At 35.0% G+C, this 17,047-nt stretch overlaps 1 long non-coding RNA gene across 2 annotated transcripts in view; it reads right to left on the bottom strand.

Moving 5' to 3' along the window:
- Positions 1-16,100, bottom strand: part of LINC02822 (long intergenic non-protein coding RNA 2822) — an 89,782-nt gene extending 73,682 nt beyond the window's left edge. For both annotated transcript variants that reach the window (XR_429171.5, XR_007063577.1), the window contains exon 1: positions 15,856-16,100. This is a non-coding gene — a long non-coding RNA (long intergenic non-protein coding RNA 2822). The remainder of the gene's footprint in view (positions 1-15,855) is intronic.
- Between the last annotated feature and the right edge of the window lie 947 nt (positions 16,101-17,047).

The raw sequence follows: 17,047 nt of genomic DNA, 5'->3' as shown, positions 1-17,047 counted from the left end.
GGTACACTCATGCATTCAGGTGAAGTTTAGCTGGGGCTGGAACATCCTAGATGGCCTTACTTTTCAGTCAGTGCTGATTTTGGTTGAGACACTTTCATTCTCCTCCATGTAGATTTCCATCATCCAGTACTCTTGACTGGCTTCTGACATGGTATTCTCAGGGCAGTTGAAAATGGCAGCTGCAAATATTCATAAGGTCAAGGCCTGGGAGTCACCTTCTATTAGTCAAAGCAAGTTTTGAGGTTAACTTATGTTCTAGTAGTGGAGGAAAAAGATTAACTCTCTTGATGGGAACAGGTATAAGGAAAATGTGGCCGTATCTAATCTACTGTATTGTACCCTCTGGCCACAATTATTTACTTCTCTCCTACATGGAAAGTGTCCCAAATGGTCACTTAATCACAGAATCAGGCTAAAAGTCCACTATCTGATCTATATCTGGCTTAGGTATGAGTAGAGGCCCTTAAGTGCAGCTCCTCTTGATCTAGAGACTTATAAACAGAAGAAACAAGTAACACTATTCACTGTATACCCTCTGCTCTTACATGCCTGATACAACATAAGAAAGGGACAATTTTACCACAATAGACATTTCCACTAAAAAATGGGTAACTGTGACGGTTAATATTGAGTGTCAACTTGATTGGATTGAATGAAGCAAAGTATTGTTCCTGGGTGTGTCTGTGAAGGTGTTGCCAAAGGAGATTAACATTTGAGTATGTGGAGTGGGAGAGGCAGACCCCACCTTAATCTGGGTGGGCACCATCTAATCAGCTGCCAGGACGGCTAGAATAAAGCAGGCAGAAGGTAGAATGAGCAGAGTTGCTGAGTCTTCTGGCCTTCATCTTTCTCCTGTGCTGGATGCTTCCTGCCCTCAAATGTCAGACTCCAGGTTCTTCAGCTTTAGACTCTTGGACTTACATTGGTGGTTTCCCAGGGGCTCTCAGGCCTTCAGCCACAGACTGAAGGCTGCACTGTCGGTTTCCCTATTTTTGAAGTTTTGGGACTCAGACTGATCCACTACTGGCTTCCTTGCTACTCAACTTGAACACAACCTATTGTGGGACTTTACCTTGTGATCATGTGAGTCAATTCTCCTTAATAAATTCCCTTTCATATATACATATATCCTATTGGTTCTTCCTTCTAGAGAACCCTAATACAGTAACATAGCAATTACTCAACACAGTAATTCTGAAAACAAGCTGAGTATGTGCCACCAGCTTCTCTTATTCATTGAGGGTGTTGCTAGAATAGGATCCATTTCTGCTTGAGAGTGATTCCTTGATCCTTTGTTCTCCTTGACTCTTGGTAGCATCTATTGGGCTGTTGGCTCTCCTTTATGAGACGTCTTTTCATTTTAATAAGAAGTGGCCCCTCTTTGCAGCTGAGGATCTCTCTCTGTCTGCTTTCTGCCCATTGCAAGTTGTAAGCACAGAAGTCTCTTTTCAGTGTTAGCAATCTCTTATCTTTAAATTCAAGATAGCTGGGGTTTTGTTGACACCACTCTCTTAAAACTTTGCTGGCTCCCTAATTCACCGCACATTCCAAAAGCCACATCAATAATTAATTTTGCAGCAGATCCCTATCTTGGTCTGTGTATGAGATTGCTGAAGGAAATGCCCTCAAGATTCTTAGATCTCATTTGGAAAACTGAGAAAATTTATAAGGCACCAATTTAAATATTTCAGAAGGCTTAATAAAAACCCTAGCCCTTTTGCCATTTTCCTAGCCTTTGCTAACTGATTTATCACTGCTTCTCTGGGTTCTTCCTGCCACCCAGTCCCAATGTCAATGATGCAATTATTTTAAAGTTTTGTTATAGTAGCTCCCAACTTTTAGGTACTATCTCTGTATCTGTTAACTATTGGTCAAAAGTAACGACACCAAAACTCAATGGTTTAAACAGGTGATCCTCCTGCTGCTTTACTTGGGTTCCCTCACATGACTCCTGGAGGTAAACTAGGCAGTAAGGTACTAGGTGGCCTCACTCACCTGTCCAGCAGTTGATGCTGTCTCCTTTGTGACAACTTAGTTCTCCAAGTGGTCACTTATCTTCTAGTAGACTATACCAACTTCCTTGTCTAGTGATGTTAGAGCAGCCTTCTAAGAGTAGTAAAGGCAAATACTGCAAAGCCTCTAGAGACCATAGCTCCTGAACTTATACAACATAGTTTCTGGTACATTCCATTTGTTAAAGGATGTCGCAAGGCCAGCCAAAATTCAAAAATCAGTAAATTGATGTTCATCTCTTAATTCTTGTTACTATAAAGCATTTGTTTACTCTATAATAAACATTAATATGTTTATTAATAAATATTAACATAATCATAATAATGTATAGAAACATAATTTTCACTGCTTTTGACAAAGAAAACTTACTAAAAGAGTATAACTTTTTTTTTAATTTCTAGGTTTAGTTAAATATAAATGGGTAATTAACTTTCCAAAAAGAATAAAACAGTCAATCTCTCTGCACACACACACAAGATGCTTTTCTTAATTTTTTCTGTGAATGACTTGACTTGATATTTAGGTTTTAATTTTCTTGAACAACTTAGGTGTTGCAAAAATAAAAACTGTTGTAATAAAAGTTTTATGGCTTGGAGAGTCCTACTTTTCACAGCAAAGCTGAGGGAGAACGGAAAACACATAGCTTTGATGGGATTCTTCATAAAATAGCTTGTTTTTTGTGCTGCTGAAAATAGTATTGATGGCTTGGAGATGTCACAAAAATTTATTTGGCCTATATACATGTAACTTAAAATATATCAAGGAGATTTAAAATCAATTTGACTCTCTGTTGTATACGCTGCTGGAAAGCAGTTTTATTTCCTTCTCTGCATATAGATTCATTATCATTTTTACCTGTGCTTTCATAGTATGAAATTTTTGCAATTTGATTTTATTTAATATGTTTGTGAAGTTTGTGCACATTGACAGGATTGACACTAGGTGATTTGTGTAACTGTTTTAGAGTGTCCAGTCTTGTGTAATATATTTCAAATTGTTTATCCATGCTATTATTGATGGCATTTCAAAATTTGTTGTTATAAACAATACTGGTTTGTATATTTTGTTTATATCTCCTTGTGTACATGAGCAAAATTTTCTTAAGCAGTGGAAATGCTGAGTTGTGAGATAGGAACATATTCAAGTTTTCTGGACCTTTCCAAATTGTTCTCCAGAATGGTTGTGACACTTTACACTGCCATCCAAAGTGTACGGAAGTTCCTAGGAGTGCACATTATCTCTAGCACTTGACATTGCTGGATGTTTTGATGTATACTTTTGCTGAAAAACAAAACAAACAAACAAAAAAAACAGATTTCCTTTTATTTTTTATTTTTTTATTTTTTTAGAGATGAGGTCTCTCTATGTTGCCCAAGCTGGTCTTTAACTCTAAGGCTCAAGCAATTCTCCCACCTCGACTTCTCAAAGTGCTGAGACTACAGGTGTGAGCCATGTGCCTGGTCTTGATTTTTAATTTAAATGTGTGAACTGACATCTCATTCTGGTTTTTAAGGTAAATTTCCCTTATTACTATTGGGTTTGGGTTATTTGCCTTTTTATTGTTGATTTTTACTTCTTTATATATGCTGGTTGCTAATTCATTGTCCTTTATGTACACTGCATTAGTCTTTCAGTCTGTGGCCTGAATTTTAACATGGATATTAAGACACTCCAAGCAAATAAACTGGAGAGTAAAAGATAGTATACTTAATGTGTTAAGATGCATATGAAAATGAAATAACATGAGTAGTATGAAGTTTTTCCTTTGTAACTCAATTCTACCCTCATAAAAGCATAGTTAGTATGTAGTAAAAATAAATGATTGATTTTATACTACATGTGATATCTTGGTGAGCTTTGTACTTCTATTCCACAAAAGTTGGTAATATTTGGCTAGATACTGAAAAGCCTTCATTATTTTTTAAACATCACACACCCAGGCCTGTTGTGGGATGGGGGGAGGGGGGAGGGATAGCATTAGGAGATATACCTAATGTAAATGACGAGTTAATGGGTGCAGCACACCAACATGGCACATGTATACATATGTAACAAACCTGCACGTTGTGCACATGTACCCTAAAACTTAAAGTATAATAATAATAATAATAATAATAATAATAAAGATATTCTTAAGGTATATAAAAATATATTGTAGGCTTATTCATCCATTTAACAAATATTGACATAGCCTTCTTATGCCTGGAACTGCATATCAATTAGGATAAAATGAAGAGATAATTGAGTTCCTCACAGTTTAGGAAAAAAATTCAAAAAAAAAAACAAAAACAAAACTAAAATATAAACACAGTTCAAGGAGCTCAAGTGCCATTATTGAATGCAAAAATGGTCACTTAAGTAAACATGAGGTCAACTAATGTTTTTAATGAGGAGTGGTACCTAATTTTAGCCTTAAAGATTAAAGAGGTATTAATTGGTCAAATGTTTCAAAATGAAATTATTATCTCAATTTCCTGTGAAACCTTTTAGAAATAATGACAGTCATAAGTCCCACCACAGATCTACTGGTCTGTGAATCAAAATAATAAAGATTGGTTATCTGGAATATGTATTTTTAAAAATCCTCCATTTCATTTCAAAGATCACATATGTTGTTGAAGCATTGAGCTACATAAATGAGATGTAAAGGGCATCCTTGTCACAGAAACAGTATAGGGAAGATATGGGTGTGTGATTGAGCTGGGCATATCAGGGGAACTGCAAGTGGGGGTGAGGATGGCTGTCATGTAGAATGGAGTGGACATATGGCAAGATAAAAGCCTAAAAGTTAGGAAGAAACCAGATGGACAATGCACCTGGTAAAGTGCATGACATTTACTAGGTTCTTAATACATGTTCATTAAATGATAGATAAATGAATGAATACGTCAGTGTATTAGTTCATCTTCACACTGCTCACAAAGAAGACATACCTGAGATTGGCTAATTTAAAAAAGAGGTTTAATGGACTCACACTTCCACATTGGCTGGGGTGGCCTCACAATCATGGTAGAAGGTGAAGGGCAGGTCTTACATAGCAGTAGACAAGAGAGAATGAGAACCAAGCAAAAGAGGAAACCCCTCATAAAATCACCAGATATCGTGAGATTTATTCACTACCACAAGAACAGTATGGGGGAAACCGCCCCCACGATTCAATTATCTCCTACCAGTTCCCTCCCACAACATGCGGAAATTATGGGAGCTACAATTCAAGATGAGATTTGGGTGAGGATACAGCCAAACAATGTCATTCTGCCCCTGACCCCTCCCAAATCTCATATTTCCACATTTCAAAACCAATCATGCCTTTCCAACAGTCCCCCAAAGTCTTAACTAATTTCCGCATTAACTTAAAAGTCCACAGTCCAAAGTCTCATCTGAGATAAGGCAAGTCCCTTCCATCTATGAGCCTATAAAATCAAAAGCAAGTTAGTTACTTCCTAGCTTGAAATGGGAACACAGTCAAACCATATCAGTGAGTTATTAGAACTTTACATGTTTTGATTAGAATTTTTAGTTTATCCTAAAGTTTATAGGAAGGCAATAACAGATTTCAACCAAGAAAGTGGAAATTTAGATTACATTGATTTAAATGAAACATTATTCTGAAACGAAGAAGAAGCTCATACATTTTGTAAGTTTCTAGATGACTTTCGGGAGCTGTGACAAGCACTTATAAGTGATGGTTTTCCTAATTCTTATTAATCTTTTATTTAGGTTACAAAAACTCATTACAATTGTGTATAGAATTTCCCTAAGCCAATTGGCAAAATAAATTATTGAAACCTCACGCAGAAAGGATTGACTGCCCTATTTCTACCTGTTATCAGAGATATGACATATTCTGTGGGAGAAAAATAATAATCTACATTTTATGGAATTTTAATTAATAACTTAAACATATTTTAAAAACTGCATATTTTATTTTATAATGGATCATGTAGTCTCTTGGTTTTGACAGCATGTGTGTGTATGTGTGTTTTCCCCCCTTACTCCCACCCCGGTTCAATTTTTGCAATGCTGTGTCTTGGAAGAGCACTTAACTGATTGCAAAAGTAGAAAAAAGTTCTCCATGAATAGTAGGTAGGGAAAGAAAATAGGAAGAAAACTAGAGGAAGAGAAGAAAGAGAGTACAAGAGTGAGATACAATCACTTTGAACTTTAGCTAATCTACCTTTGATCCTGCTGCTGGAGTTTTAGTGTAAAGGAGCAACTTAGAGGCCAAGGTATCTGAGGTAATCATTATTCCTTAATGAAATCTCTTTAAGGATACCAGAAAAGAAAAACGCAGAAGAGCAGATGCCCAGAGAGACTATGAAACTAATTCAGAAACCACAAGTAACTGCAGGGCTAAGAGAACCTAATCTTGCAAATCAAACTGGATTGGGCCTAGAACAGTAGATATTGTCATTGCAAATCCCTTGATTATCTTCAAGCTAGGTGTAAATTGGGAAAACATGACTATATTAATATATGAGCATATTAGTATCCATCCTTTATTTTTAAGATAAATCCCAATCTTTACTATAAAATAAATATAAAATAAAAGAACTTTCTTAATCTGGCTTTAGACTCCCTCCACCAAGCTCCATTTGATCTTTTGTCCTTTATTCTCATAAAGCTTTACTAATTGTAGTGCTGTATCATCTTATATGCCTCAAGATGCTCTTCCTTTATATGTGTTGTTGCCTTTTTCCTGATCCACTTTTTATTCTCTTTTCAAGTGGGATAACAGTTACTTGTTTTTCAAAACGTATCCATCTTCATTTACACCAAGGTCAGTAGGACGCCCTTCTGCATGTTCCCACAGTACCTAGTGTTCTTGCGGATCAATTTATTCAATTTGTTTAATTGTCTCCCCATTCTATTTTAAATCTGGGGTCACCAGTTTAATGCCTTTAGGTGCAGACAGATGATACAACCTACTAGAGGATCAGGTGTAATAAATAGAGAATGGTGGATAGCTATGAATTTGAGATACCATGTCCTTCGGAAAAAGAGCGTTAAAAATAATACTTAGTTTTCCTTATCACTTGCCTTGAAAAATAAAATGCATTTGTAAGTCAAACGTAGTTTGTTTTATAACGACTATATCCTTGAGATCACATATGTTTTACATGTGTATTCATTTAATATCAAAGAGCTTGGTACAAAGAGGGATTCAATGTATACTGATTGACTTTTCTCATGACTTAATTAATGGACTGTATTATTCCTGAACTTCACTATTTCAAACTTTCTTCATTCTGCCTGTAGAGGCTTCAGATAGTTGATAGACTGAAAGTTGCTGTGGAAGGAGAAAGAATGTATGTGACAGATAACTTAAGTATTTAGTACCAGACACAGAGAAGTTTAGGACTTTGGACATATAAGTTACAAATCTTGAGATTCTTAACTAGAATCTTTAATTAGACTGTAAAAAAGCTCACCTCCAGTCTTAAAAAAATAACATAGTATAGGATTTCTAAGTCATGAAATAATTAGTATTGACTAAGAGATTATTTTTCTTATCTTTCTTTACTGTTTAATGTTTACTTTTTAAAAGTAATTCTGGTAGTAAGGTACTTTTCTTATCTCACATCTTCAAAACTCAGCATTTTGGAAGAAAGAGTCAATATAATGTTGACAGTTTATTGAACTCCTCTCTATCCAACTTATTTATTTGTTTATTTGAAACAGAGTCTCACTGTGTCACCCAGGCTGGAGTGCAATGGTGTGATCTCAGCTCACTGCAACCTCCGCCTCCCAGGTTCAAGTGATTCTCCTGCCTCAGCCTCCTGAGTAGCTGGGAGTACAGGTGTGTGCCACCACACCCAGCTAATTTTTGCATTTTTAGTAGAGATGAGGTTTCACCATGTTGGTGAGGCTGGTCTCGAACTCCTGACCTCGTGATCCACCTGCCTCCCAAAGTGTTGTTGTTGTTGTTTTGTTTTTGTTTTTGTTTTTGTTTTTGTTTTGAGATGGAGTCTCCCTCTGTTGCCCAGGCTGGAGTGCAGTGGTACAATCTCAGCTTACTGCAACTTCTGCCTCCTGGGTTTAAGCGATTCTCCTGCCTCAGCCTCCCAAATAGCTTGGATAACAGATGCAAGCCACCATGCCTGGCTAATTTTTGTATTTTTAGTAGAGAGGGGGTTTCACCATGTTGGCCAGGGTGCTCTTGAACTTCTGACCTCAAGTGATCCACCAGCTCGGCATCCCAAAGTGCTGGGCTTACAGGTGTGAGCCACCACACCCAGCCCCAACTTATTTATTTTAAAGATGATTTTATATCATCACTGTAAATAGAAAATTACAATTAAAAACAAATTATAACTTTAAAACTTATTAAATTGTAACCAGATACTGTTGTCTACCAAAGGTTCTAAGCCGAAGTCTACTTTCAGTATTATAAAGGACAAGTGGCAAATATTTAAGAGAGGTTAGCAGAATATGCCAAAAATTTAAGACATAAAAAAAACAAGTATTATTTATGAGTTCAATACAAGAAATAAGATAAAATAAAATTGAATATTCCTCCCCGTGTAAGTCACTATTATTTAATGTCGTGGTTTGTGTGTGTGTGTGTGTGTGTGTGTGACCTTAGACTACCAGGGACATGCATCCTATGTTTTGAAAAAAATGGGGACTAGATGAAAACCACTAACCTAACCTAGCATGACATTTTCCCTTTTGTATTTTCATTATCTTGGCTCTTATTTTCCTTTTCTAAAGAAGGGAGCTCACTGCTAAGAAAAATAGCAAGAGTAGGGTGCTATCCAAGTGTGTGGGGTTTGTTTTCCTTACTCCATTCTGAAGAGTGTCCATGTACACAATGGGAATGCACTGCTTTAAGTACAGAATGGTATAGGAGGTAGTCTACTAAAGAGAATGCTTACATTTCTTATCCTTATTCAATTATTCCAATTACTTCACAGTGTAGCTACAATATAGGTTTTCTTTTTTCTCGTTATTTTAACATACCTTTTCTTCAAATCTAGGAAGTTGATCTTCTTTAAGCAAACCTTTCAGAGGAAGCATGTTATACATTTGCCTGTCTACCAGTTCATGGTCAACTGCAACCTTTCCCAGGGCCAGGCAACTGAATTAATTCAAGGACTCCGTAAAATAAATAAAGTAGGTAGTTAGTTTTGCTGTTAGTAGTAATAGTTCTGCTAGAATGAATGGTTTATGAAGGTAATCAAGTCAAAGGAATGAGGCTGGTTTCCCAGTACATGTTTCCCTCAGATTAGTTCCTTTTGGCTATTTGATTCAAGCTACGTATTTATGTTCATTTAAATCAGGTTTCAGAGGTAAAGAAATATTGTGAGAAAAGGAAGAATGGAGAACGTAGGTATCTTAGTTTGTTTGGACTGCTATAAAAATACCATAAACTGGGTAGCTTGTAGGCAACAGAAATGTATTTCTCATGGTTCTAGAGGCTAGGAAGTACAAGATCAAGGCACTGGCATATTATGCTCACCAGGCACCGAATATGTCAGTGCCTGGTTTTCTGGTTCATAGATGGCACCTTCTAGCTGTGTCCTCACCTGGTGGAAGAGGCAAAAGCAGCTCTCTGGAGCCTGTTTTATAAGGGCACTAATCCCACTCATGAGGGCTCCACCCTCATGACCTAATCACCGCTCCAAAATACCACCTTCTAACACATTGGTGATTAGGTTTTTAACATATGAATTTGGTGGGAACACAAACATTCAGACCATACCAGTAGGACTAAACTTGAAGAACAACTTAACACACAGGCTCTTCTAGGTCCCAAGAGGGAGAAATGTGGCCACTGAAATATGTCATTAATGTATTTATGCAAGCAATTTGCCATTGGCTGGCAACAAACCCATCACAGCCACCATGAATATGACAGACTAATATGGTTTGGCTCTGTATCCCCACCCAAATCTCATGTCGAATTGTGATTGCAAGTATTGAAGGAGGGGCCTGGTGAGAAGTGATTGAATCGTGGGGGCAGAGCTCCCCATTGCTGTTCTTGTGATAGAGTTATCTGGAGATCTACTTGTTTAAAAGTGTGTAGCACCTCCCTCCAACTGCTCCTGACAGCCATGTGAAGACGTGCTTGCTTCCCCCTCACCTTCTGCCATAATTTTAAGTTTCTGAAGGTCTCCCAGCCATGCTTCCTGTACAGCCTGTGGAACTGTAAGTTAATTAAACCTCTTTTCTTCATAAATTCCCCAGCCACAGTTAGTTCTTTATAGCAGTGTGAGAACGGACTAATACGTAGACTTTTTTAATTTACTAAGCTCTGTAATCAATAGATTTTTAAATAACGTTGTATCTTTGGTAAGGGAGACTTCCAGGCAAGTGTTGCAAGTTCAGCTTATGAACTAGATACCTCAACTCTGCCCTCTACCACTTTCTTTGCATTCCCATAAAAAGATTATTTAAATATTTTTATGTTCTATACACTTGTGCTGAAGGAAGGAAGGAAGGAAGGAAGAAAAGAAAGAGAGAGAGAGAGAGAAAGAAAGAAAGAAAGAAAGAAAGAAAGAAAGAAAGAAAGAAAGAAAGAAAGAAATTCCCACGTATGTTACAAAAAATATCATTATTTACCACAACCTACTATACCTTTTCCAAAGAGACATTTTGATGTATCCCTTAAGTTATTATAATTATAATATGATTAAATATTATTGTAGCACACTGAGAGCCTTAATATGTTCTCATTGCCCGAAAATTGGGTTGAAACTCAGGGAGAAGTTTCAAATTTGAGTTCTAAAATGCAATTTAACCTTAAATAATTGAAGAGGAAATAATAAGCATAAAGGTTTTTTTTAAAAAATCTCATAAATAAAAGCCAACATCACACTTTTCTTTAAAAAGGTATGTAATTTTATTATAATATATCCTCGCTTTTGCCTCTTATAGAAAAATTAAGTCTAAAGGTATATTTTGTATACAGCAATTTTATACACATATAGCTAAAATAATTTTTTAAAAATTATCCAGTAAGTTATACCAAAGATGCAATTGATTAAGACGGCTGACTGATAAAACAGATATGAATGCAAAAGTCTCTTAAAGTCTTTACCTTTAAGCTTAAGAGCCTTAACAGGTTTAAGGTCTCTTAAACCTTTTACCACAGAAGTTCAATAGACCCATCTTGAATAGTAAGATGTTAAAGTCATGTCTTACAGTTCTTAAAGACTAAAGTTAATACTATATTTACTCATATTAACTATTATGAGACACCCTCAAGTCTCTCAAAATTTCCTAGTCATTCTTTATTTTATTATGTATTGTATCTGGATGGTAGAAACAAGGTGAAGTCTAAGAAGAATGTTTTTTCAAAGTACTTTTTATTTTTTATTTTCAAAGGCAACAACTTGTTCCAATTATGCCTTGAATTACAGTGGGAAAAGTGTGTGTGTGTGCGTGTGTGTGTGTGTGTGTGTGTGTGTGTGCATGCGCCTATGAGTATATGTATGCATCTGTCTGTTTGGTAGTCCAAGAAGAAACATTTCATCTCTGAGGTTTTTAGTTATAGGTGCATAAAGAATTTGTAGCAATCCTGGCTTCACTAATCTTTAAATTCTCTATCCTTAACTCTTAGGAAACAAAATTTGGTAGCAATACTCTTAGCCATACAGAAAAATATGTCAAGGCCTAATGATTTTGGCAAGAACTAATTGCTAGATCAAGTAAAATTCATATGAGTGAAAACTAATCTTATACAGGGCAATAAAAGCATTTTCAAATTTCTTTTTATGTTTTGTTATGTGTTAAATAAATATTTGATAAACACACGCTCAAGGACCCTCAGGAAGCATTACTGCTTATATTAACAAGGAAAGTGTGTAACAGTTTTTGTGAGCTTCTTTCTTAAAATTAACTTGCAGACAATGCTGCAGTTTGCTTCTCCTTCTTTTTAGTATACTGAACAGATTCTTAAATATGTGTATGTTCTAAAAACAACCTCTGAAACAATTCTAAAAAATAATCTCTCTATATTTTTAACATGTATATTTCACATTATATTACAGCAGTGAGAAAATGTATTTTAAATGTTTAACTATTATATGTGTGTGTATATATAGTGTGTGTATATATACATATAAAATATATATGTGTGTATGTATGTGTCAATTACCAATGGTTATAATCAAATATGTATTTCTCAATAACTAAAGTACCATTTCTGATGTTTTAAGGGATGGCCTGATACATTCAGGGCAACTTTTTTGGCCAATAACAAGGAATAATTAGAAAATGTCTACTACAAAGAAGCTGACTTATCAACTTCAAAAATAAGTAAAATGCCATAGATGCTTACAATTTGTTATTAGTAAATAAGTTAGTAAGGGCCAATTTGCATCCTACATTTTAAGGAAGCTAAGATTATGTAATTCTACAGGCCTGATAGATATAAAATTGTTTTGCTTTTGCCATTCAAGTTATGTTCCTGAAAATTTGTTTGCCTCTCTAATTACTGCCAACTTTCAGTTCATCGTTGTGCCTTTTCTAGATTTGGCAGAACTACCTTGCATAGGGAATAGAGCTTATTTGAATGAAATAAGAGTTACTGCTGAAGAAAGAAGCCTGGTCTGAAAATAATGAATATATATGTATATATATATAATGGAAGTAAGAAACAAAGTATTTTTGAGATATAATAACACAACTGAGAGCTGGATACTATGATATCTATTCATTTTAGAAGTAATATAGAACATAATCAATTTTATTAACGAGAATAAAAGATCCAAAAAGTTACCTGACTGGCCCAAGATCACAAAGCTAGTTCTGGCAGGCAGTATTAAAAGCTAGCTGTCTTGGCTAACAGTAGTTCTTTTCATTAAAACAGTATAATGACTGTTTACTGTGGTCATCTATCAAATATTATTCAAGATACAGTGTTATGTTTATTTTAACTCTGAACTTTAAAAAAATAATCCCAGAGTGTTGTTGGCTAATTGGGAGGCTAGATGCCCTCTGTGAATGATCATCATTAATATAAATGAAAACTCTAATATTATTTTATCATGTTTATATCAATTTATCCATATTGTCAGTTATCAAAGGGACATTTAAACCCTTTTTCCCCCAAAGCTAGATTTTAGACAAATAAAAAGATACAAGAGGCGTGGTGGCTCACGCCTGTAATCCCAGCACTTTGGGAGGCTGAGGTGGGCAGGTCACAAGGTCAAGAGATCGAGACCATCCTGGTCAACATGGTGAAACCTCGTCTCTACTAAAAATATAAAAATTAGCTGGGCATGGTGGCACATGCCTATACTCCCAGTCATTTGGGAGGCTGAGGTGGGAGAATCGCTTGAACCTGGGAAGTGGAGGTGGCAGTGAGCTGAGATGGTGCCACTGCACTCCAGCCTGGTGACAGAGCAAGACCTTGTCTCAAAAAAAAAATATATATATATATGTATGTGTGTATGTATATATATATGCATATATATACGTGTATATATGTGTGTATGTATATATATATGCATATATATACGTGTATATATGTGTGTATATATATACGTGTGTATATATGTATATATGTGTATATATGTGTGAATATATGTATATATGTGCATATATATGTATATATGTGTATATATATACGTATATATATATATATAAGATTTATAGTTAGCCTCAGGGAGAGTTTATGATATTTTATGAGATTATCACATTTCAGGTAGAATGTATTCCTCATGCAAGAGTCGGCCAAATTCATCCAGGAGTTTGAAAATGAATAATTTCCAAATAAAAATATTAATTTTGAGTAATTGAATCAAATAATTACTTCTTCTGTTTAAATTCACATTCAATTCAAATGGAGTTAGCTTCCTTTATAATGTGTATTTGCATTTTCCTGAATGAAATAATATGATATCTAAGATTTGCTTCAAAATTATCCAGTTTGTGTTATGTGGAGTGTGTGTGGGGAAATAGAACAAGATTGGTGAGGGATACATGCAAATTTATTATCATAACATTGCCTCCCCTATTATATAAATATAAGTGTTTTCATAATAAGTACAAGGTGTATATTTTCCCATGTATGTTTATTGAAACTATTATTAACTATATGTTAGAAACCTGTGGAGAATCATCTTAAAATAGACATAGTCCCATTGTTCAGCCAGTAGCACATCTTCTTAACTTCTTTCCTCCCTCCCATAATATATCCCTCTTTTTCATTTGTCTCTTACAATGCCAGGAAACATAGAGACAATGATGTATTTGCCAGCTTTTCCAGCTCGAGTGGGAACAGATAATATGTGTTATACCTATTTACCAGGTGATCGTGAGGTACAGAGAAGCATTGAAGATGAAAGCACTTTGTAATCTGTGAAGAGTGTAAATGTCAATCATTATAATAATGATAATCAGGATGATGTAGGCAATGATAATTGCTCTAATTGTTTTCCTTCTGTTTCATCGTATACAGTCTTATGTGAAATTAAGGTTCTTATTAAATCTGTGTTGATGTTGATCAGTTGCTTATAGCAAAGTAGTAAATAAGTGGAATTCTAAAAACAACCTTCATTTAAGTTCTGTGAACAGTAGGAAGCTTAAGGACTGCATTTGAATGTGCTTTATAACATCTAGCCTAAAATTTTAAGTGAAAAAATAAAGCACTATTTTAGTAGACTTCAAGATACAGTGTTATGTTTAACTCTGAACTTAAAAAAAAAAATCCTAGAGAGTTGTTGGCTAATTGGGAGGCTAGAGGCCCTCTGTGATCATCATTAATATAAATGAAAATTCTAATATTATTTTATTTTATTTTCTATCTTAGTCCTTGTCCTCAGAAATTCAGGTACCAAATTTTAATGTGTTTCTTCATACTTTAGTGTATGAAAATTTTCTACGCTAACTAAAATCTATTCTCAAAAAAAGAAAGAGAAAAATTTTTCCTCTATCCATTCCATGCATTCACCAGTTTTCTTTCCAAATAATCAGAATAATTTTATAAAATATAAAATATGAGCAAGTCTAAATGAGGCAGTGATACAATTATGACAATTCACTTTCATCTCCGTCAATTCTAATCTTACTTAATATAAGGTAGCATGAAGTTCTCTAATATGTATATTTCACAGTGAGATCACTTATTTCTAAATTTAAATACTAAGAAAATTGTTAAAATTCATATTTAAAATGTATGAATTTTATATTAGGTAACAAATGGCACCTTATTAAGGAGATGAAGTGGAGTCAAAACTTTGACAGTGTCAAAATTAGATTATACAACTCACAATTAACTCTAAAAGGCTAGTAGCATTTTTTTTTAACTAAACAACTGGGTAATCGAGTTCACATGTAATAATTACTGCCTAAAAGTATGAAAACAGTTAAGCAAACTTTCTTCTGACATTGTAATCTTATAAACATTTTTTAAAAATATATTTTAAATATCTATTAAAATATTTTAGTATATAAAACATAAAAGATATAATAGGTTTAACATATGCTAGTATTTTACCACATTTGCATCTCGTCTTTAAAAAAGTAAATACAGCTGACAGCAAAAGTCTTGCCCATCATGTCATTCTTTTGTCTCCCCAGACATAGGCATAGTCTGATACAGCATGCATTTTTTGTGCATGATTTTACACTCTTACAACATATGTCAGTACCATGGACAAGTGTGTGCTTTAAATTTTACAGAAATGATTTCATATTGTACACAGCATTTTATTTTCTAAGTTCCCAAATCATAAGAAAAATCACAATAAAGTCAAATGACATGTTTAGCTCACTCTAATTATAGAGTATGTCTCAAAAATAGCTCCTTTTGCTGTCACCCTTTCATCAAAAAGATATTTGAGTACATGAAACACAAAAGGTTGTTATAAACATTCTCTTTGTGGTACTTACCTGTAGTTAAATCATCCCAGCTTTCACAATTCAGTAAGCAATTACTCACTTCTTGGCTCTGTCTCCTCTTGATTAACATGAAGTTGATAGAAGAATTCATTAGTGTGAGAAATTATTAGGATCCGATAGAGTATAAGTGTCCAGTGGCATTATTAAATTCATCTCTTTATTCTCTGAACTGATAAAGTGAGTGTTTGTAGAGATGTAGATCTGACACTTGCTTCATTCAATTCCATTACATAACTGAAAAAAGAAAGCAAAGAGATGAGCTACAAATTGGTGCAACGCAAATTTTTTTTGGAAGTCAATTATTTGCAAATTGACAGATATTTTACCACAATGTTATATACAGTGGCTATTATCCATTCAGCCCAGAAATTCTATTACATTAATCATGAGTCCAAGGGTTAGAACTATGTTCAAAGTATGAAGGACTACCAGAAAAACACTCTACAATACCATTTGAGTTGACATTCCTGAAGCAATGGGTCAGGGGCTTCTGTGCCACATCCTCTGTCTCTGTCAAGCACAAGAAGTAGGATATTTCCAGATACAAAATGCTGGTACTGGTTGATGGCATTTGCGGTCAAGGATTCAGCAGGTAACTTGAACGTTAGCAGCTGAGGTGGCTAAATCCTTGATCAAATAGAACCCAAGGAATATTAAACACCGGGGAGGGAGACCAGGAGGAAAGGTCTAAGGAATTTGGGGGCTCAGGGATCCCAGATACCATGTGCCTCCACCTTGAATTCATTTTCCAGTCACCTCCCTTGCTTTAGGCATTGACCTGATGGTCCCACTTTCACTCTTTCATCCCTCCTTCTCACAAGTATTTCCCATTCTCTCTTCCACTGAAGGAAACACATCACACTGATTACATGGCCCATTTTTGTGGTGGAATTCAGGGAGCCAATTGGGCCAAGCCTCCATGAATAAAGGGTCACAAATTTTGACTTCTACTTTCATCGTCAAATAAGTTTTTGCACATAGTCATGGAAATACAATATTGAAAAGATTGAAATATATCATTTATCGACCTTTAATTGTTCAACTTAGGCATTTAAAATATATCACCATAATCATAATACTGCTTTGTACTTCTTTGGTTTTTTCTTTTCTTCTTCTTCTTTTTTTCTTTTTTTTTTTTGAGACAGAGCCTCTGTAGCCCAGGATCACTGCAAGCTCCGCCTCC

The sequence above is a fragment of the Homo sapiens genome, chromosome 12, assembly GCF_000001405.40.
Source record: "Homo sapiens chromosome 12, GRCh38.p14 Primary Assembly".
NCBI classification, from domain to species: Eukaryota; Metazoa; Chordata; class Mammalia; order Primates; family Hominidae; genus Homo; species Homo sapiens.
The sequence above is the reverse complement of the archived record's forward strand: the minus strand, read 5'-3'. Positions and strand labels throughout refer to the sequence as shown.